Consider the following 24,184-nt stretch of genomic DNA (forward strand, 5'->3'; position numbering starts at 1 on the left):
AATGCCTAGGGTGAGGAAGCATTTTCTAAAGAGATTCTAACTTATCTGTTATTAGCTGAATCTAAGTGTCATTTGCCTATTTAGTGAGTCATTATTTATTTAGTGAGTCAGTCTTACAGTACCTTTAGAAAGAAACTAGCTTTTCTTAAACCCATATTTCCTATCCCCCTACCACCACTATCAACCCCCTGTACCCCACCAAAGGTTCCCTTGGCTCTGCATAGCTCTGCCCCAGCTTCCTTTTAGTCCCTGGCTTTAGGCTGTCTCCAACCTAAGTCCCAAGATTCTTTCATTTTTAGTTCTGCTGCTCTTTTACATTAATGTAGCTTTTTATAGGATTGGAGATTTTAAAAAACCTACTAAATAGCTGTTATATTTTTTGTTAGGATACATACACATGCATAATTCTGTCCTCTTTCTCTTCTGATATTTTCAGCTACTATAAGGGTTAGGAATTTGCAAAAGGATTTATTTCTGAGAGTCTTCAGAATCTAGACTGCATAAAAATGTTCTCCTTTAAGAAGTTGCTTGAGTTACTGAGTTTTCCCTTGGAATGAAAGATACTTGAAAGCACAATATGTATGTTCCTGATTGGAGCAGAGGGAAACAAATGGAAATTATTAGTAAGATTACACTGAAATCTTACTAATTAGAAAGGTTACACTGAAGATTTTATTTCTCTCTACACTTTAGATCTGGGCTTCTGACTTTAGTAGTATAAACTCCCACAGTTGTTAGAGCTCACTCACTCTACATTTCCCCCTGAATTTGGAATATACTCAGTATTGACTCACTATTCTTCCATCCTTCAAATCATCTCTCCTATTCCACTCAGTGGTCAGCTGCTGGCACTGCTTTGATTTATCCCCCTGTCTACTCTCAGGCTGGCTGCTTAATTTTTGCTTAGCAGTATAGTCTTTAAAAAAAAACCCCAAATTTCAAAACTCTCAGTATGTGTGGGGGCAGAGGGGTGCAGAGTGGGGAGGGGCAGTAAAGTTGTGGTTTCTGTGGAGAAAATATTTCTTTGGAGTCAAAAGACTATATTAAAAGCTCGTCTTCCACAGAATATAGGTCACATTCCTGGTAAAAGTTTGGATGCCTGTTTTTTAAAAAAAACAGAATGTCTCTAAACACCATAGTTAATATACTATAAGTGATATACTTTGAATAAGGCATAATAAGGGTCTACAATGTGCATAAATCAACTAGGTAAAACATTATAATAACCAATACTGTAAAAAGCTACATTAATGGAGAAGGGCAGAAGAACTAAAAATGAAAGAATCTTGGGACTCAGGTTGGAGAGAGCCTAAGGCCAGGGTAAGCTGGGGCAGAGTTCTGGAGAGACAAGGGATGCTGAAGGTGGGAGGCTGATAGCGGTGGTGGGAGTTTGTAGAGGGGTAAACAGTGAAAACAAAGGATATAGAAAACACAGGGTCTTGAGTGCCAAAAAGAAAATAAACTGGGAAACCACGTTCGCAAGTTAAAAGCCTTGAAAGATCTACTATACTGTGAGGAGTGAACTATTTTAAGTCAAATTGCTGTAGGTTAAGGCCCATCTTACAGTAAAAGATGGCATCACTGATCTATGAGGTCTTTTAAACCAGAACTATGTTATTCCAACATTCGACTTTGCTTCTTTAAAGAGACTTTATTGAACAGTCCTCTCAGGTGTCTTTCACAAATGTACTTTCTTTTTAAAATTATTTCCTGTTACTATGAAAAGTAGTTTGCATCAAATACCAGGAGAGATGTGTGTGTGTTTTTAAAAACATGGTCTATTCAATTAGTGCAGCTATGATATTAGATTGAAAAAAATTTCCTTCCAAGATCTTTATCATTATGGTAGAGTATTTGTTCTTTGAATTTCTTGCCTTGTTTTTGGGATCACCTTATTATGCAACATCTGCTCTGAATTTCAAATGTGATAAACAGAGTATGAGTGTCGGTGGCAGATGGCTAATGACCAGCAGCGACAGGGCATTCAAGCCTGCCTTGTTTTCTGGGAAGCGATATTTTCATGTTAATTTGCTCTGTGTCCTGCAAAGATGAGACAAATCACCTGCTCGTAATTCAGGCAAAATGGAGACCACCAGGAGCTGAGAGGGGCCATGGCTTGATTCCTTTAGGAGTGAGAAGAGAAGAAGATCTGAGAGGCTTTCCTCATCTGCAGTACAGGGACCAGTCAGTCACTTTGCATTATGTCAAACTGAGAAAGATGAATCAGCCCTGGGCATCCCATACTGACATCAGAGCCACTGTTTACTGCAAGCAGATATTATTCATGAAAACAGACATTTCCCAGAGGCAAAAAACAGGTGCTATTAACAGTGTGTGTCAGTTTCTGAAGTCTGGGTTTTGTAAAATAAACCTAATAGTGTGTTTTATCTCTTACTAAAAATATTACAACCAATAGAAAACTCTAAGAAACATTCAATTGAAGATAAAATGAAATCTAATTCACAGAGAAAACGACCCACACAGACATGAACCTGGAGCTTTTCTGGCCCTCTCAAGCTCTATAGAATTCATTTATCATAAAGATACATAAATAAAAAAAATTTTATTCCAAGATTGAATCATCAAAAGAGGCCATATGGTCTTGAGCTCAAAGAACCCTGTCCTATTTTAGAGGCTGCTGTTCTTTTGTGTGACCTTTCAGTGCCTCAAACTTGTGAAACTATATTGACAATTGCATCAAACATTTTTTTTTATCAAACATGTTTCATGCACAGAATGTCCACAGAATAATTTTAGGTTTTCAAAGAGTTTATAAAATAGTTGAGAAGCCAGGTCATATCCTAGGAAAGATTAATGTATTATACAGACAAGACTAAATACCAAATGAATGATTTAGTAAAAGAGGGCATTACATTTGGAAAAGCCTGTACAGGAGAATATTTTACATAAGAGTCTCTCTCCATCTGTATCTTGCAGTGTACAGTTCTTATTCTGGGTGGCAGTTACAAATTACTAAGAAAAATGGTGAGCAAATTTCTTTACAGTTCTTTCTGACCCTCTCTCATAGGATGGCAGATGAAAGCATGAAAGAGAAAAATAAAAATCTGAGAGCTGTTTTTTTTTCTCATAAAGCTCCATAAATGGAAGGTGCTATATAAGCATAGATACTCTGAATTTATCACGTACTCTAAAAGAAAAAATAACACAATCATTAAGGTGTCAATTATTGCCTCATAAATCTCAGCATGGAAACCCAGGAAGGCAATATTAAATCTCAAATGAGCCAATAAAAATTTAATAAAGATGGCACTGAACTCCTCCACAAGTAAACAGACCCAAAGATAATATCCTGAATTAGAAAGAGGAAAGCCAGATATGTCAACAATAAGTCTATGAGGGAAAATTAGAATATCTGTTGACTTCACAGGACAGCAGCCAACAGGCTGCTTTATGCAAATGTCATTGTCAACCAAGAATGGATGCACCTAAAGGACATCAAGAAAAGAGGTTAAATAATGTGATGAAAACCCCAAGATGAAGTATGAATGTGATTTCTATGTATGCTTTTTTTTTTTTTTTTTTTTTTTAGAATAAGGTATATTTAATGATGTTGGAAAGAATCACCTATGATTTTATTTTATTCTCATGAACTTCTCAATGAAAATTTTCAGTTCAGGCCTATACTCTTAATGTACTTTATTAAAGTCCCACATGAGCACCGTGCAATAATTAGAGTTTCCCCAATAAGTTTACCCAACTATCAACCTTTATTAGTACTTATGGCTTATGGTGTGGTTTAATGTCTTTTTTATTTTTCGAAAACAAATGGCACTTAAGTGCACTTCAAAAACTGTTAGGTGATATAAGTAAGCTAGAAAAGTAAGATCATCATGGGCTCTTTTCTAACAAACGTGTTGATGAAATGATAAGCAAAATGATGTTACCCCTATGATATCTAGTAAGACACCATGGAGCATCCTAGTTTTATCCAAGTACTGCCCAACTAATGCAATTTATGTCCTGAATGTGCATTAGAATATCCTGAGTTTCAGTGGCCTGTTAACTGGTAAACAGTGCCACAGAAAACACAACACTGGGTAGAGGAAAGTGGGTAGAGGAAAATCCCCTGAGCTTAAATGATCTTAGATGAGGTCTTGTTTTGATTTTCTATTTTATATATATTTCATGTTAAAATATCTGGCCAGGCATGGTAGCTCATGCCTGTAATCCCAGCACTTTGGGAGGCCAAGAGGTGGGCGGATCTCGAGGTCAGTAGTTCGAGACCAGCCTGACTAACATGGTGAAACCCAGTCTCTACTAAAAATACAAAATTAGCCATGCGTGGTGGCCCGTGCCTGTAATCCCAGCTACTCAGGAGGCTGAGGCAGGAGAATCGCTTGAACCTGGGAGGTGGAGGTTGCAGTGAGTTGAGATCGCGCCACTGCACTCCAGCCTGGTGACTCCGTCTCAAAAAAAAAAAATAAATAAAATAAATAAATAAAAATAAAGTATCTTAGATATGTGACTCCGTCTCAAAAAAAAAAAAATAAATAAAAATAAAATATCTTAGACACGTGACTCCGTCTCAAAAAAAAATAAAAATATCTTAGATATGTATAATTATTTAACAACATGATACGTTTTAATCTATGCAAGACAATGTCAATATTAATACCTATGATTTGGATCCTTTGAAAAGTAATTTAAATTTAAGTATTTTAAAAAATAGTTTGGCACAATATAGACTGTGCTTACTTATACATAAGTAGTCTGTTCTTGACTTGAAAATACCCCTAAACTACTTAAATAACCATACAGAATGTGTACCACAGGCTTGTGTTTGCATTTTATCTCTTCTCTTATACTCTAAAGGTCCTTCAGAGCAGGTCCTCTCTTTCTCATGCCTAATTCAATTTTGTGTCCCTGAACTGCCTAGCACAGAACCCTCCCTGCACAGAGTGAATATTCAATAAATATCTGTACGAGTATAGTCAGAGAAGCTCTTATTCCAACAGAGCATTCTATATAAAGAATCAATTTCTGTGTTCCCAATAGGTTGTTCAGAATAACAATATTTGCTTGATCTAGTTATTAAGGCTTCCCATAAATGAGCCTATATAACAACAAAATATTTCTGTTCTCTGGCTGTGTGCTTTAAAATTTCAATTAACCAGAATTCAGATTCTCCTACTTAGCAGCTGTTTATTCTGCATTCCAATTCTTAAAAACAAGTCAATCACAGAAACAAAAGATACGAGTGTTGATTAAAAATAATTTTGTATCAGTTATATATTCAGCCTAAAACTATCCATTTGATGGTTTTATTATGCTTTTAAATGATTATTCAAGTTTTCAACAATGACCTTAAAGCATCACAAACACTCAAATTATTTTTTAAAAAACCTTATATTTAATAAGGAAGGAAAGTAGGTTAGTATAGTTCAGAATTTTTTTTTTAAATTAAGAATGAAGATAAAAGAGTCTTCTAATTAGCTTTTAAGTTAGCAAAAAATGTTTGATTAACCACTAACATGTAAGTTAACTGCCTGAAATATTTCATTTGACTATGGTTTATTTTACTATGAAAACATCAATACAACATTAGCCACAAACCTTCAATAACTAGAGCCCCTTGCCCCCAACTCCACCTCGTATCTGACAATTTGGATCAAGGGGTGCTGATCCTAATGGCTGAAGAAATTTAACAGCCTCCAGGACAATCCCTGTTCAACACGGAATGAAGTGACATTCCCTTTCCTGGAGATAGACAAAAAGCTCAAAAAAAAAAAAAAATTAACTTTTAATGTCACCTTGTTCAAGAGCTTCTGGCAACAATCACCCCCTTCTAGCAAGCCTCCAGCTCCATCCTGGCTCAGCCACTGCCCCCTGTCTTCTCCTCCCCTTTCTTACTTTGGTGACCACCCTTCTGCCTGTTCCTTTTCCTATCCTGCTTGCCCCTCCACCCTCACCCTTGAGATTCCCCCCATTCCAATTCATTTCTACTCCTGCCTGATCAAACCTGAGTCTAGTAAACCACTCTGGCTTATCAACATTTTAACTGCACAGATGCCTTTGCAAATGATTCCACTCAGTAGCCTCCAATATACTAGGATAATTTAATATAATGCTCAAAAGATCTATGTAGGTGGTAATGTAAGATATAAAATATATGGTTGCCTCATCTGTCTGTTTTTTTAAAAAAAAGATACTCCCCAAATAACTTTGAACTTAGAAATGTATCAGAAAATGTCAATGATTTTTTGATAGTCTATGTTTAAAGCCTTTGAAAGTCATTTTAAAAATAATTTTGAAAATACTTACATCTAAAGAAAGCTTGACAATGTGTCTTATTTACTTTGTACCTATGTGTATAAATCATTGTGTAAGACACTGTCAGGACATGAGGATGACTGAATACATGAGATATGTACATTAAAAAATCCCAATTAAAGGCAGAAAACAAGATAAAGAGGTAGAGATATGCAGAACAAGTGTTATAAGGCATGTGAGATTACATCTAGCTATAAGAGTTGATCAAATGGCTTTTGAGACGGCACTTGAAAAATTTAGGTAGATAGCCTGGTGAGAAGGAGCAAAAGAAATGGCATGAGAAGGAAGGCCACCAAGGTGGAAAATCACAGATCATACCAAGAGAATGATGAGCAGTCCAATTTGCCTAGAAAACTGTATAAGAAAAAGGACTATGCCCTGCTCTGCATGCTGAACACAGGGTTTCTGACAAACTCATAAAGGAGAGAACTAAAGCTTCAGGGGTGGAATAGAATGCCAGAGGAAAGAGGGGTGCACAGACAGAAGATGGCCAAGAACAGGTAACTATCAGGCATACCTACATTTGGAGGGCCTTAATGTCCTTGAAACTGCTCAGGAAGAAATGGGACTATTGTTAAGCACCAGATTCTTTAATGAGAGCCAGATGGGAAAAAATACAATATTAATCTAAAACAAAAGGAATAAATCATTCAGTATGTCAAATTCTAAATGTATCAGTCAGTATCTGAGAACGTCATTTAGCTATCACTAAAGACATTTCTTAGTCTGTTGAGAAGATAAACTATTTTTAGCTATTAACTTCTATCTAGAATGATGGTGAATTCTATAACTCATTTCTAAACAACGAATGATAAGGCAGGAGTCTGTTTAAGCTACCTAATTCACACAGACAAAAAGGTTTTCATGAAGACCCGCACATGATGTGTATAAATCTAAAAGATCTACGGGGAAGTTCAGTTAAGCAGAATGCAAATAACAACAAAACTTTATCAGCAGCATTTTCCATTAGACTTAAAGGTAGGAAGAACTTCCAGTCAATATACTGCATCTAGTTTACTGACCTCTAAGGATAGAAAGCATGTCTCAATCATCTTTGAATCCCAGGAGTTTGGCATAGTATCTGGTTACTTAGGCTTCCCTATAAACGTTTTATGAATAAGAAAAATGAAGAAAGAAGGAGGGCCTAACAAGTAATATTTCAGATTCACATAGCATAGGTTGTCCCGGAGTTATTATACAATCATAATATACAATGTGCTCATGAATAATGTTCAAATTATGTCTCTCATAGACAATAAACCATCAGAAGAAGACTGAGCTATACTTACTAAACTATGTTTCCTAAGGTCTAAGACAATCTACAACTAAGTATTTTTAAATAATTTTAATATGCATTAGAACTAAAGGTTTTTTTTTCCACTTAGTTCTAAAATTAATGAACTAGAATACATATGTCTGTACTTTGAACATCTCACTTAGTTGATGAACTGGAATATATCCCAATCTTTGAACATTTTCTTTGATTTTTTTAACTATATACCGAATTCTAAAAGTTGTAATTGTGGCAATTTTCATAAGGAAAGAAAGCCATTGCTTAACAGACTATAATAGTCGACTGCCTGATAAGACATGAAGATGATTCTTGATACCTTTATGGTTTCAGTGGGCACTCCAGGCTCTGGAACTTTATCCAAGTAAGTGGTCAAGTCTTGATCGACATGTTCAAACACTAAAGTTAGTTTGGTTTCTCTGTCTGTTCGTGACACTGTGCACACATCAAACAACCTAGAAGAAAAAACAAAGAGGTTAAGTAGGTGGCAATAAGCAAAGAAGTAACCTGTATGTTTTATACATATCGCTCAATTTGGTCTCATAATAGAAAAAAAAGGCCAGTGTTGATCATTTCTTGTGATCATATGTAAAGATATCAAATGAGATCTGATACTTTAATAACAACATGAAGTTCAGGAGAGGGGCACTCAGAGTGTGCGGTTAAGCATGAGAACATCTATAGTAACAATGAGAAAGCAACGCGCTTGGAGCACAAGAACGCTTGGAGAGTTTCCTTAGTTAGGACCTTAGATAGAACTTGCCAATGGGGATAATTTCAAAAACTTGATGTCTAGGCAAAATATGTTTCTTCTTAGCTCACAGTTTGAGAATTACTAGAGATAGATTGAGCATCCTTTGGAGATGCTGAATGTTGTAATCAAGATTTTCCTGGAATTTAAGGTGTCACAACCATGTCTGTGAAAACAAATATGATGGAATATGGAGAAATTTAGTTTATTTCTAAGACAGCCCTCATCCTGCTGAGTCAAATCATTCCCTGGAAAGGGCATACATTCTTAGTTTTTAAAATTCCAATACCATGTTAATCAACATTGTAAAATTTAAACTTTTTTTTCAGGGGTAGGGGGACCTGCATTGGTAAACTATATTGCCCTTAAATAATAAAGCAACAGATTAACAAATGTTTTGGATGGGTGAATCCAGTTTCTTCCATAAAAATCTTAAAATAAGACAAAATTTAAGTTTTAAAAACTAAGCCTTCAGGAGTCAAAAGAATATTCAAGCCAAAGGACAAAATTTCCTTTCGTTTCAACCACAGTACACTATTTAGCACAACAGATTCTCACCAAATGTTTGAAGAATTAAACTACCCATAAACAAGCTGTAAGTACATTTCTTAACAAGAATGTAATATAAATACTAAGAAAAAGCTAATAAAATACTATTCATATTACTTTAATTTTTAAAAAAAATTGAATAAATGCCTTCTTCAAAGAAACTATAAATGTGCATAGAGTCCAATAACTGATGCACAGGGTTGACTATCAATTATCCTGCTTACATATTACCTCCGTTAATTTTTTTTATTATATTTTAAGTTCTGGGATATATGTGCAGAATGTGCAGGTTTGTTACATAGGTATACACGTGCTATGGTGGTTTGCTGCACCCTTCAACCCATCATCTACATTAGGTATTTCTCCTAATGCTATCCCTCCCCTAACCCCCCCACCCCGACAGGCCCTGGTGTGCGATGTTCCCCTCCCTGTGTCCATGTGTTCTCATTGTTCAACTCCCGCTTATGAGTGAGAACATGAGTGTTTGGTTTTCTGTTCCTGTGTTAGTTTGCTGAGAATGATGGCTTCCAGCTTCATCCATGTCCCTGCAAAGGACATGAACTCATCATTTTTTATGAGTGCATAGTATTCCATGGTGTATATGTGCCACATTTTCTTTATCCAGTCTATCATTGATGGGCATTTGGGTTGATTCCAAGTCTTTGCTATTGTGAACAGTGCTGCAATAAACATATGTGTGCATGTGTCTTTACAGTAGAATGATTTATAATCCTTTGGGTATATACTCAGTAATGGGATCACTGGATCAAATGGTATTTCTGGTTCTAGATCCTTAAGGAATTGCCACACTGTCTTCCACAATGGTTGAACTAATTTACACTCCCACCAACAGTGTAAAAGCATTCCTGTTTCTCCACATCCTCTCCAGCATCTGTTGTTTCCTGACTTTTTAATGATTGCCATTCTAACTGGTGTGAGATGGCATCTCATTGTGGTTTTGATTTGCATTTCTCTAATGAACAGTGATGATGAGCTTTTTTTTCATATGTTTGTTGGCCTCATAAATGTCTTCTTTTGAGAAAATGTCTGTTCATATCCTTTGTCCACTTTTTGATGGGGTTGTTTTTTTCTTGTAAATTTGTTTTAAGTTCCCTGTAGATTCTGGATATTAGCCCTTTGTCAGATGGATAGATTGCAAAAATTTTCTCCCATTCTGTAGGTTGCCCGTTCACTGATGATAGTTTCTTTTGCTGTGCAGAAGCTCTTTAATTTTATTCCATTTGTCAATTTTGGCTTTTGTTGCCGTTGCTTTTGGTGTTTTAGTCATGAAGTCTTTGCCCATGCTTGTGTCCTGAATGGTACTGCCTAAGTTTTTTTCTAGGGTTTTTATGGTTTTAGGTCTTATGTTTAAGTCTTTAATCCAGCTTGAATTACTTTTTGTATAAGGTATAAGGAAGGGGTCCAGTTTCAGTTTTCTGCATATGGCTAGCCAGTTTTCCCAACATCATTTATTAAATAGGGTATCATTTCCCCATTTCTTGTTTTTGTCAGGTTTGTCAAAGATCAGATGGTTGTAGATATGTGTCATTCTTTCTTGTTTTTTTTTCCTTTTTGTGAAGGAGTTTCGCTCTTGTTGCCCAGGCTGGAGTGCAATGGCACATCTTGGCTCACCACAACCTCCGCCTCCCAGGTTCAAGCGATTCTCCTGCCTCAGCCAAGTACTACTCCCAACCCGAGTGGCTGGGATTACAGGCATGGGCCACCACGCCCAGCTAATTTTATATTTTTAGTAGAGACGGGGTTACTCCATGTTGGTCAGACTGGTCTCAAACTCCTGACCTTAGGTGACCTGCCCACCTCGGCCTCCTGAAGTGTTGGGATTACAGGTGTGAGCCACCGTGCCCAGCCATGTGGCATTATTTCTGAGGCCTCTGTTCTGTTCCATTGGTCTATATATTTGTTTTGGTACCAGTACCATGCTGTTTTGGTTACTGTAGCCTTGTAGTATAGTTTAAAGTCAGGTAGCATGATGCCTCCAGCTTTGTTCTTTTTGCTTAGGATTGTCTTGGCTATACAGACTCTTTTTTGGTTCCATATGAAATTTAAAGTAGTTTTTTCTAATTCTGTGAAGAAAGTCAATGGTAGCTGGATGGGGATAGCATTGAATATATAAATTACTTTAGGCAGTATGGCGATTTTCACAATATTGATTCTTTGTGTCCATGAGCATGGAATGTTTTTCCATTTGTTTATGTCCTCTCTTATTTCCTTGAGCACTGGTTTGTGGTTCTCCTTAAAGAGGTCCTTCACATCCCTTTTGGGTTGTATTCCTAGGACCTCTGTTAAACTTTTAATGCCTTGCTGGTTCACCATGTCATCCTTCTGCATTTCTGGGCTTTATGGACCCCACATTTGGACTTCTCTGTGAATCTATACTAAATTTTAAAGGAAACGAAAAAAAAAAACCAAAACCAAAAACAAAAAACACTTAACAAAAAAACCCCACCACTGTAATTAGGTTAAATCTGGCAGGTCAAAAAACAGAACACCAACAACTACACATGCTTCATAGCCAGATCCAAGCTTCTTTTTAATTATGGGCAGTTTGGGGTGAATTATACAACTCCATTAAAATTAACCAGAATCCATTGAAAATTTTTTCCTCACATTTATCTACTTCTAAACATTCTGGTTTTTAAGTTTTAATATCCATTCCTAAACTTAATATTTTCCCCTAATGTTACTTATTCTGGAAAATTATTCCAATAAAGTAAAAACTCTTAACAGATTTATTAAAGATAGTACCATAAATCATATTAAGTCTCACACTCTAAAAATATGATTGCTATCATGCATGGATTTAATATGTGGAAAATTTATCAAAACAGTTCTTTTGCCTTGATAATTCAAGATAACTACAACTATTCACAGGCTTTTTTAAGCCAGCTTATTGCTATTAAATCCACATACTTGGACAACTTCACTCTTTTCTTCCTATTGAAAAAGAAAATGGAGTTCCACAATCCCCAACTTTCTTTATATCTGTTGCTTGTATTTTTGTAATAAAATAAAAGAGCAGTGAACCAAAAATGGCATGTCCCTAAAGTCAAATACAAACACAGAGCTGTTTCATACTATGACCATTTCAGTTGTGTTTCTGAAACATTACTTTAAAAATATTTCCCATTATAATTAATATATTTAGTGAAAAAATTACATTGCTTACCACTACCTGGAATCAATAGTAATTTTAGTAACTCCAGTTCTTACTGCATTTATAGTTTATCATATATATATATATATATATATAAGATATTATAGTAATTTCCAAAAGAGAAAAAATTCTGACGGGGGCATAACTGGAGAATAAAGTGATCCTAAAATACTGCTGAAACAAAAAGTCATCTGCCCCCTGGACCGTTGTCTTAGAAGTTACCTAACAACCCTGGCAGTATGCCCTGTTGCTTCATCTCACTGAAACCGTTTTCAAGCACTCTTTGCATGACACAATTTAAAAATAACATCTAACCCACCCAAGTTGCTTTCCTCAGAGTTATACTGCTCTCTTCAAAATATTAAGACTCACTGATGCCACCTGCAGCAACTGGACTCCAGGCCTCAGTTTCAATGGATGCTCAAGATACGAAAGGTGAGCTCACTGAAGCCACTACTAATTGTCCTAAATGATAAACCTTGGAGAAAAAAGGACTCATTTCAATCGGTAGTTTTTAAAACATGGAATTTTAAAGAGATGTGTAATAGTCCATAGAGCAGAACATTTTCACATAAATTTTAATGTATATACTTGCATATTCTTAAAAAATGGTATTAGGTAGAAGTGACTCCTCCAGGTTCAAGGAAATAATCCTTTTTAATTTTTAAGGTGCCATTATTATTAACTTCATTCAGGAAATGGAGCATATTAGAGACTTCTCAGACATTCACAAAGGGCATCAAGGGACATCAGAGTCCTAAGGGTGCCTGTAGGATACTCTCTTTTTTGGCTCCAGTGCTGGCTAGCCATCCACATCCTACAGACCTAGTACTCCATGGAAGACATCTGGGGAAATATTGCTCTTCCCAAAACTATGAAATTTTGTCTGACTTAAATTATGTCTGATTAATGGTTAGTAAACATTGTACTAAAAATTAACAGTTATATTAGTCACAATGGGTAGGAAATGCATTTTGAATCAATGGTTGTAAACATTAATCTTAGAAATGCTAGACTATAATATTTATGATGCTTTTTTTTGTCTACAATGACTCCCTCTGGAATTGCCCCAAATCAAATAATAGTCACTTTGGTGGGCAATAAAGAGAAAACAGAAACTTTATTTTTATTCTTATTTTTCTTTTAAGATGGAGTCTCACTCTGTTGTCCAGGCTGGAGTGCAGTGGTGCAATCTTGGCTCACTGCAACCTCCTGGGTTCAAGTGATTCTCCTGCCTCAGCCTCCCGAGTAGCTGGGACTACAGGCATGCACCATCATGCCTGGCTAATTTTTGTATTTTTAGTAAGGATGGGTTTCACCATGTTGGCCAGGCTGGCCTCGAACTCCTGACCTCAAGTGATCCACCTGCCTTGGCCTCCCAAAGTGCTGGGATTACAGGCGTGAGCCACTGTGCCCGGCCAGAAACTTTAATATAACAAATGAGTTTCATATACAACAACTGAGCTAAGCATGAATTAAAATCCCTGGTATTTGGCTAGAGGTAAACAATCTGTAATGTATTTATATAAATCAATAAGGAATGGGGCTAGGCTACCTAGAACCCTTACACTTGCAAAACAAAAGAGCCAGACAGGTCTGAACACTTGAATGTAAAAACTGGAAAATAGGCTGGGCGCGGTGGCTCACACCTGTAATCCTAGCACTTTGGGAGCCCGAGGAGGGCGGCTCACGAGGTCAGGAGATCGAGACCAACCTGGCTAACACGGTGAAACCCCATCTCTATTAAAAATACAAAAAAATTAGCCGGGCGTGGTGGCAGGCGCCTGTAGTCCCAGCTACTTGGGAGGCTGAGGCAGGAGAATGGCGTGAACCTGAGAGGCAGAGCTTGCAGTGAGCCGAGACCGTGCCACTGCACTCCATCCAGCCTGGGCAATGAGCGAGACTCCATCTCAAAAAAAAAAAAAAAACAAAAAAACAAAAAACAACAACAACAACAAAAAAAACCAAAAAAACCCCAAAAAACTGGAAAATAGCTACAACTGCATGATTCCTTATATTGACCAATATTTTAAGACTTTCTAAAACCTTTTTTTAAAAATTTTTGCTAATCTGTAACCTGACAAAAATACCATTTCAAGAATTACATGACAGCAGTTCCATAAGAAAAATGTAATCACAATGTATTGAATATGAACAAAATATCTCAGATGACTTTTAAAGGAAAGGAAAATTACCATTAAATATTTATCCATTAGAGCTTAGCATAATGTGATCCAAGTGAATGTTCAAAAAGTCAAAGTGCAAACTGGTTATTGGCATTAACTAAGGCTATGCCTTCAGTTTAGCTGTGCAAAATGCAATCCAAAAAAGGCAGATAGGTCGTTATCATTTCACAATTAAGTTGGCCAAGCCCCTAACTCTCCCACAAAGTAAGTTCTCTTGCTGTCTCTATTGTCCTGACCCGCCAGCTGCAGGGCAGAGAACAAGGCTTGCAGTCCAGCACAGCACTCAGTTTTCCAGCTGTCCTAGTGATGTAATTATCTAATAACAAAATATCTCTCTGAATTAACTCTGCATCCTACCCATTGTAATTCTTAATGACTACTTCCTGTTCATGTTCTCAATTTAACTTGCTCTTCTGGAACTATTGCATAGGCAAGTTGCCTTCATCTAATGGATGGGATTACATCCAATAGGTTTGGGATTTCCAAAGATTACAATTTACAAAGGTCTCCCAAACAACATGCTTTGTAAACACAAGCCCTGCCTTTCTATTGTGGTTACAATAAAAGGGAAATCTGTCTTATTTGCTGTGATTAAACTTTGACCCATTCACAGGAAGTTCTATGAGGATTTTTTTCCGGTCACTTTTTTTTCCCCCATTCTCTTCAATGTTTGGACATCAAATAGTTCAAGAGCTGAGAGATGTCTGGCACAGCTACCTAAGGGCCACAACAAAATTCTGCTTGAACTAGAGCCAGTATTTGGAATCGAGAAGAATTTTTAAAAATATCTAATCTCCTCCTCTTAAGTGCATGAAGCATATTCTGTGACTATGTCTTGTATGCACCAAATTTATGTTCACACATCTCACTAGCCCTACACTACGGATATGGGCCACTGTATTCTCTTTTTTGCTCATTAAATATGGACTCTGTGTGCACTTATTCTCAACCAGCACCAAATGGTATAGCTCCAGGAGTATTTGCCACCAACAATAATGTGCATGCTGCTAGAAGCAAATTGCGATTTCAGCAGCACCCATAAACATTTACCAGCACCTACCATGTGCAGGCACTATACTCAGTTTTAGAGTTTCCAATAGATATGACAGATATTGTTTTTAAAAGCTTTACTATCTAGTTGTGGGAAAGAAGACTTACAAGTAAAAATGCAGGTAATGATGTATGGCTATGTATTAGTACCAAATAAATTCTATAAACACTATGTACAACTTTATATATCACATCAAGTAAATTTATTCTACATCCTATTAAGTAAACCACAGATGGTCTCTGCCTTTCCATCCATTTACCTCTCCTGGAAGCCACACCCTTATTTTCTGTTGAGGAACTACTCCTGTCCTAGAATCTGGCAATCTGGTTTTAACAGCAGGGGCCCACGGATGGCATGTGAACAACCCTGGATTGAGTGATGATGAATGATTCAGAGGTGGACAGGAGCATAATAATCAGTCTCAGAAATTTTGCTAGGACTTCTGGGAGAGTAAAACTCTACACTGGGATTATGAAACTGGCAAAGTCTCAGCCTGCAGCTACTGATGGCTGTCTTTGCCACCATTTTAGTGAACCTACTATGGGATGCAGAAGAGGGCCAGAACAAGGGACAGTGGGCAAGAGATTCCGGAAGACATTATTTCCACACCTGGGCCCAGTGTGTTTGATCTACCCCTGGATTTATTAATTATGTGAGTCACTAAAGTCAGTGTTTTGCTTATCCAGCTTGAGTTGGGTTTTTATTACTTGCAACAAAAAATTGTCCTAAGACATCTATAAATATTTTGAAATGATTAAATGACTTAAAAATGTCAATATCTGGCCTCAAATACGTCTTACAGAGTAGACACAATGAGTGAAGCTCAAGCACAAAAGAAGTAGCAGTGTCCTCAAAGTGACTGTCCCAGTTCTCTGACTTGGCTGGGAATCTATTCACCTTAAATGGCTCCTCCATTCGCATGTCCACTGGGCAAAAGTAGCCGACAGCAGAGAACCAGATCAATCCATCCTTCCCAAGGAGCCAGGCAGCTTCCTCTCAGACCCTACTTGAGGTTCCTGATCTGACCATAGAGACACTGGATGGAGGAAAGCACAGAAGGAAGAAGACAGATGGACAAGTTTATCACAAACAGGAATGTAAAACATAGAGTAGAAAAGAACTCAATGGTAAGAGGAAGCAAGGAGAAAAAAGAACTTAAAAATAATACAAAGATACAGGGTTCAATTAATTTAAAGGTTGAATCCAGTGTGCAAGGTGTGTTCTCCTGAAGCCTTCAATTAAACAACCCCTTTCCCACTAGCTGTTGCTGAAAAGTGGAAAAGGACAGGGATGTCAAACCAACTCTAAAGCACAGAAATCCTTTGTATTTAAACTGTTAAGTTTATGGCTGCTATTATCTGACAAGGGAAGGCAAAATCAACATTGCTTATTTACTAAATCATTTTATTCCTACAGCCTTTAAGAGAGTATTCATAAGAAAGTTTCATTGTTTATCTTCTTTCCAACTTTAGAGTTGCTATTAATCTAGTTTCAGCTTCTATCTATATAGACCTGGCACTGTGGCTCTAGGAGTTAATATCTTCTGAATCTGTTAACCAAAAAATGTTTTACATGTGGAATGGGAATCCCCTAAACTGGGCAAGTTTACAAGATGTGACTCTTGCACTATAGTAAATTTTGAAAATAGAGCAAACAGTAAAACTATGTATATGGAAACACATTCCTACCACACGATCAGCAACAGAACTGATGTACTACTAGCTGGGCCTGAAACAAGCTATTTAGGATGGCTTAATGGGTATATGGGATGCCTATGTACCCCTCTCCTCATTCCAGATCAATTCCTGAACTGGACATTAAATAATAGAATTCAGCTTCTTCCATAGTCCTACATACAGCAAGCACTACAGGCACTTCTACGTCATCAAACACAATTATTCAAACTGCTAATGCATTTTATCTGAATGAAAGGCAGAGAAAAGAGTAAGGCTGTAGCATCACTCTGTTATGCTAACTACATGCTATTATGGGAAAAAAAAAAGCTTTAGAGCTGCCACAAAGAAGGCATATCATAAAATGCGATTTGTTGTCTTGCAGGGAAGAGAATGGTAGCAGGGGCAAAATCCTACTTGGAATTAAGTGAACTCCAAGTCACTAACCATGTGGATCATTATCTCCCCAAAGACAAGAGAAAGATAACAGCTAAACAATAGCTGTTTTCTGTAGGCAGCTAAACAATAATCAGTTGATAATTTTGGTGAGTCCAGTTCCAATACAAAATAGATTTGGAAGTTCAAAGAGAACACAGCCAACTCTACAAAAAGAAGCGACCTGCCAATGGAGAAAATTAGGAACTATTAGGTCTAGATTAGTATAAAGAACAATTCACCAACCTCAGCTATAGATCAGGAACAGGGCACTGTTTACCTCTTGAGGTCTCCACCTAGACATGATGAACTTTTAGTCTTTCCTTAACAGTTACCTTCAATCAGCCACTCCAAAAACATAAATATGATGGACAAAATAAGGGCCTAACAAGAGTGAATGGACTGAGAGACCCCAAAACCTGTGGCTTTTGGTGAGAGGATGGGGTGAGGGGAACTCAAGTCGCAAGCCCTACTGGCAGGTCAGAGATGACAGAGTAGCAAACTAAAGATAGCCTTAAACTAGTGGTGCCTCTTTGCGTTTTGCTTATTCTTTTCTTTCAATTCTCAGTGGCACCCACAGCCATGTCTGATACATAGGTGTTCAATAAATATTTATTGAATAAATGAAATTTTTCTAAATTATAACTTAGGGAAAAGTCAAAGTAAAATAAAGTAAAAGTGAGGATACTTCAAGATGTCATTAGGAAAGCGTGGCATTCTGAGTAAGCCAGATTTTGTAACTGCTGTTAAACGAAGACTCAAACACTAAAATATTGCATTTACTAGTTAATTAAAAAATCTTAACAACTGTATGAGATGGTACTCATTTTAGAGACGAAGAAATAGACACAAATGTTCACTGAATGATGACGCAGTGAAGGTAAACAAATATTCACTGCGGCATCATTCGTGATAGCCCAAAACTGTAAATAACCCAAATGTCCATCAACTGATGAATGCATAAACAAGGTGTGGTATATCCATACAATGGAATACTATTTAGTAATAGAAAGAAATGAAGAACAAATACATGCTATGACATGGATAAACCTTAAAGGGATTATGCTAAGAGAAAGAAGCCAGTCACAAAAGACTATGTATTCCATTATTTCATTTATATGAAATATTCAGAGCAGGTAGATCTATAGAAATCGAAAGTGGATTTGTGGTTGCCTGGGACAATGAGCAGTGGGAGAGTGTGGAGGAATGGGGACTGATAATGTGTACTGGGTTTCTTCTTGGAGTGATGAAAATTTCCTAAATTTAGATCATGGTGATAGCTGTGCAACTCAGTAAGTATACTGACCTGAAGTCTTACACAGGTGCATTTTATGGTATGTAAATTACATCTCAATAAAGCTGTTTAAAAACAAAAAATGGACAGCAACAGTGGTAGAGAGGTTTAATACTTTGCCTAAAGTACAAAGACAGTAAGTAGTGGAGATGGGCTTTGAAATCAGACTGTCTGGCTCCAGAATCTGATTTTCTAACCACTCTGTTATTCTGCCTCTGAATGCAGCACACCATTTGGAGCTGCAGTGAAGCAGAGGTCAGTGATGGGGAGACTTTGTGACAAATGAGATACCCTGCTGACAGGCATTGTGGGAATGCCAAAGCCAAAATGTTTTTGGTAAATTAAAAGATCCCAATACATACTTTACATGGTGGGCTGAAAAAAAGAAGTTCAGAAAATTCACAGGAAAAATGTTAAAAAGCGAAGACTGCTGATATCCCAAACCCTCTTACATTTTTCCCTTGACTAGTTAGAAAAAAGGCACACTTCAATTCACCCGACAGAGCTTGAAAAAGAGATTCTGATCTCAGAAATAAGTGAGTTAAGTGTATTTTTAAAAGCAAAGCGAACAGCTCTGGCTTAAGTCAGATAGAGTGTGGAACATTCTGGACAACTTTCAACATTTAGTTCTCTGTCCATTTCTGACCTGTGAAAGCCCTGTTCTCCAGCTTTGGGCCTCTCTTGAGGAAAAATGACTAAGCAGCCAAAACTAGGCAGCCGCCTGTAATGAAGACTGTCTGCTGTGTCTTAGAAGAAAGCCAACCAAGCTTTACCTACACTGTAAGCCAAAAACCTTTCATAATCACATCCTTAATAGGTGAGTAAATTCATCCCAGCACTAATTCACTCAGGTACTTATGATTAGGTACTGATCTAATAAAACAATCACTGAAGTTAGTTCCTTTTAAGGAAACTTTTGATCATAAACATAGAAGAAAATGTTAAACCTTAGTAACTTAAAGCAACACAAATGAAAACCTCAGTGAAACACTAAACCTTTCAAACTGGGTTAAAAACAAACTTGTTTAATGACAAAACTGCACAACACTTGTTTATGAAAATGAGCCCACATCACTGTGGGAATACAAACTGATAAAAACCTTTCTGAAGAATAATCTGGCTCTGTGTGTGTGTGTGTGTGTATACATATATATATATATATATATAAATAATCTGGCTCTGTGTGTGTATATATATTGTATATATACACACACATACACATTATATATGATATATAATGTATATGTATATATATATAATGTGGCTCTTAAAATAATGGTACTGATACATCTTTATTGAAAATGGAAAGACATTCACAATATATTATTTTTAAAAATGCAAGTTTCAAAAGAGTGTGTACAGTATGATTCCACATATGTAAACATAATGGTAGAAAGATAAATCAAGATGTGGCTGGGTGCAGTGGCTCACCCCTGTAATCCCAGCACTCTGGGAGGCTGAGGGGGGTGGATCACTTGAGGTCAGGAGTTCGAGATCAGCCTGGCCAACATGGTGAAACACTCTCCACAAAAAATACAAAAATTAGCTGGGTGTGGTGGCGCATGTCTGTAATCTCAGCTACTCAGGAGGCTGAGGCAGGAGAATCACTTGAACCTGGGAGGCGGAGGTTGCCGTGAGCAGAGGTTGTGCCACCACACTCCAACCTGGGCAACAGAGTAAGTGAGACTCCATCACAAAAAAAAAAAAAAAAAAAAAAAATGTAGCCAGTGGCTATTTCTGGGTGATAAGATTTTGGAATGGTTGTTTTCTGCTATTTGCTCATCTAAACTTTCTACTGTGAGAACCTATTAATTTTTAATTAAAAAAATTATTTAAAAAATAAGAATCATAAAAGCCTATTTTTCAATTCAGATTTTTTTCTCCTACCACTCACGTACTTTTCTTCAATCTGTTCCTCTGAATTAATGAGGAAATCCTAATCATCAATCCTGAAATGCAGTTTTAAAAATCAAACATGTAAAAACATAAATTCTTTTGTATTTAGAATTGTTTATGTTTGTCCACTTAGAATATAAATTTTTTGTTTATGTTTTGTTCTCTTAGATTCCTGAAATCTCTACAAATCTTAAAATATTGTTCTAAGAGAAAAAATAATATGTATGCATTACTGCCGCATTAAAGTATGTGCTTTTCAATCCCCTCCCAATATGGAGTGACTCTACAAAAAAGAATATGAGAAAAAATTATTTTTCTGATACTTGGTGAAAAAGGTCAAAGTAACAGACTACCACGAAACAAAAGAGAAACAACGATGGCTCACAAAGTCTTCAGATTACTCTAATGTTTCTTAAATAAACCAAGAAAAAAAATCCTACATGGTAGAATTCAGTACCCTTTGTAACGTAACAAGGTGCAAGCAACCAAAATAAAGCTTGGTCAAAAATAAAGATCCTTATAAAAATTAAAATATAACATCTTATATTTTTAAATTAGATCTATTAGAGCAAAATTTCTGGGAATTATTGTGTTGAGAACTAAGAAAAATGCTAGAAATATATTCTAAGATCACCAATGGCAAACTATATTAAAATATTAGAAAACACACTGCAGTTGGAGAAGCTGGAAAAACTGGTATTTCTACCAACTTCTAAACTTAAGGATCTAAAATTGGGTTGTTTTGTTCAGGTGCAAACACTTATAAAAATTAAATTATGATTTGCTATATTTCTATAAGTCCATTTTATTTTAGAGTTTGATCTTTGTTCTAGAAGTATCTCAGATAATAAGGAAAATGTTTCATGGTGTTAACGGTAATGAAAACTGTGGGAGATAATTTGTAAATGTAACTGCAAGTTTATCTATTTCAAGGCAGACGTTTTCTTTTGCAAAGAACCACAGGAACACCTCATATACTAATAATCTGTTAGTCATCTGGTTGTCCCATGTAAGTGAATATTTTAGATAATTGATTCTTACCCATCTTAATTCCCTAAACTATTTTTTAAAATTAAAGTTTTAGTGGAATTCTTGGTAACATGCATTGAACATTTTCTTGACTTTTTAAGCACAATATTATGTTTAACTGGTAGATGATTCATGGTCATTACTGTTACCATTAAATTATAATCATTTAATTCTGCACCATTATTATGATCACTTATTTGAGTGTTTACTAAGTACATGCAGATGAGACCAAAAGATCCACAATGAGGCACATTGTAATTAAACTATGAAAACCAAAGACAAAGAGAGAATCTTGAAAGCAGCAAGAGAGAAGCAACTCATCACACACAAGGGATCTGCAATAAGATGAACAACTACTTCTCATCAGAAACTATGGAGGGCAGAAGGCAGTGGGATGGCAATTTGGAAGTGCTGGAAGCAGCCAGGCATGGTGGCTCATGCATGTAATCTCAACACTTTGGGAGGCCTAGGCAAGAGGACCACTTGAATCTAGGAGTTTGAGACCTGCCTGGGTAACACAAAGAACCCCCTCATCTCTACAAAAGATTTTTTTTTTTTAAATTAACTGGTCGTGGTGGCACATGCTTGTAGTCCTAGCTACTCAGGAGGCTGAGACAGAAAGATCATTTGAGCCCAGAAGTTTGAGGCTACAGTGAACTATGACTGCACCACTGCACTCTAGCCTGGATGTAAGAGTGACACTCTGTTTCTAATAAATAAATAAAGAAGTGCTGGAAGAAAAAAGAAATCTGTTAACCAAGAATTCTATATCTGGCAGAACCATCCTTCAAAGATGAAGGCAAAATTAAGACATTCTCAGATAAACAAAAGCTGAGGGAGTTTTTTGCCAATAGATCTGCCCTACAGGAAATGCTAAAGGGAGTCCTTCAGGCTGAAATAAAAGAACATTAGACAGTAACATGGAGCCATATGAAGAAACAAAGAACACTGGCAAAGGTAACTAACTACATAGGTAAGTGGTTTGTAACTTTTAAAATATGATTTAAAAAACAAATGCATAGGACAGTAATTATAAGTCTACGTTAATGGCCACACAACGTATGAACATGTAATTTGTGACAATAACAACATGAAGGAGAAAGGACAGAACTGTACAGAAAAAAGTTTTATATACTATTAAAGCTGAAATAGTATCAACTCAAACTGGATTGTTATAAGTTGAAGATGTTAATTGTAATCTCTGGGGTAACCATTAAAAAATTCTTTGTTTTGAAACTGCTCATATCTTGAGGAACATTTTCTTGAATTTACCACTTAAGAGCCCCTACAGTGAGCCTGGGACTGTGGCAGGGATTTAATATATGGAAACTTATTGAATCCTTTCAATATCCTTATAAAGTATATACTATTACTCTCATTTTACAGATGAAGAAGCTAAGATTCATAGAATAATTTGTTCAAGCATCATAGAACAGAGACAAGAGGCAGAACCAAGATTTAAATTAGAAACCTTCACAGGCCTCTCTCCTTCTTGATCTGGACCTTCAATATCAAGATCTCCTGGACCTATTCTCTTCTTCCCCAATGTACCACCACCACTATGACAATCTAATCAGCAACAGATGACAGTTATCTCCTTTATGGTCACAGCTTCAAAGAGTACCTAGAGGTTGGTAAATCTCCAACTTCTCTCTCCAAAATAGTACTTTCTCCAAACTCCATACCCAGTTATCTCTTGGACAACTTCAACCAATACTCTGAACATCTCAATTTCAAAATGTCTAGAACACAGTTCATTCCCCTTGGTGAATCACACCCCCATCCAAATAATTTTCTAAACCCAGAAGCCTTCAAATAATCGTAGATTGTTTCATTTCCCCACATGTTCAATCAACCACCAATTCCACCACCTAAATATTTTTCCATCCACTGCCACTTCCCTGAGCTCAGGCACTCAACACCCTTGGCCAGTTTTCTACAAAGGGCCTTTATCCTGTTTCCCAAATGCCCTGAGACTCTTTGTACTCATCCCCTACTCTGGTCAGTGAGCCTTCCACAGTAAAAATCTGATCGATAGCATTGAACAAATGCATTTAACCAGCAAACGTTTATTAAATATTTGTTATTTTCTAAGCATTAGATTAGATGCTAGGTATAGAAAAATCAAAGGGTAAAATAAAATTTCTTAAGTTATTCAGAGTCTAGTGGGAAAAGTAGACAAAGTATCAACTATTCTGTAAATGCTGAGGTATGTATGTCTGCGGTATACACAGATACACATAAGTGTATACACATATACTTATTCAAATCCGCACACACACATACACATACATCTTTCTGTCTCTTATGTATATACCTATGGAATTTTAAGAAATGATAAAAGAAGCAACCCATCCATATGTGGAGGAAAACTTTGTAGAAGAAATGACAATTTAACTGTCAGAGTATCAAGAGTTACCCAAGCAAGTGGCAAAGAAAGGGCACTTGAAACCAAAGAAAGTGTGAGCAGGAGCACCGCAAGAAGCCCCATTGGAGAGAAACTTTGTATGCTACAAAGAACTTTGTTCCTCTGGAAAGTGGGCAACTATTTTTTATGGTTTTC

General features: G+C 36.6%; 1 protein-coding gene across 3 annotated transcripts in view, besides 2 other annotated features; it reads right to left on the reverse strand.

Moving 5' to 3' along the window:
• CDK6 (cyclin dependent kinase 6) overlaps nt 1–24,184 on the reverse strand; it is a 231,653-nt gene that overhangs the window by 161,874 nt on the left and 45,595 nt on the right. For all 3 annotated transcript variants that reach the window (NM_001145306.2, NM_001259.8, XM_047419716.1), the window contains exon 3: nt 7,902–8,037. In NM_001145306.2, coding sequence (NP_001138778.1) covers nt 7,902–8,037 — 136 coding nt within the window. The remainder of the gene's footprint in view (nt 1–7,901; nt 8,038–24,184) is intronic.
• Nucleotides 1,747–2,286: an enhancer, noted in NCBI's record as "OCT4-NANOG hESC enhancer chr7:92397855-92398394 (GRCh37/hg19 assembly coordinates)". NCBI's record gives its function as "activates a minimal SCP1, AML or CMV promoter by ChIP-STARR-seq in primed H9 embryonic stem cells {active_cell/tissue: H9 hESC(primed)}" and the evidence as "EXISTENCE:reporter gene assay evidence [ECO:0000049][PMID:30033119]".
• Nucleotides 15,967–16,167: a silencer, noted in NCBI's record as "peak6637 fragment used in MPRA reporter construct". NCBI's record gives its function as "represses an SCP1 promoter by STARR-seq MPRAs in K562 erythroleukemia cells {active_cell/tissue: K562}" and the evidence as "EXISTENCE:reporter gene assay evidence [ECO:0000049][PMID:32103011]".

The sequence above is a fragment of the Homo sapiens genome, chromosome 7 (assembly GCF_000001405.40).
Source record: "Homo sapiens chromosome 7, GRCh38.p14 Primary Assembly".
In the NCBI taxonomy this organism is placed as follows: domain Eukaryota; kingdom Metazoa; phylum Chordata; class Mammalia; order Primates; family Hominidae; genus Homo; species Homo sapiens.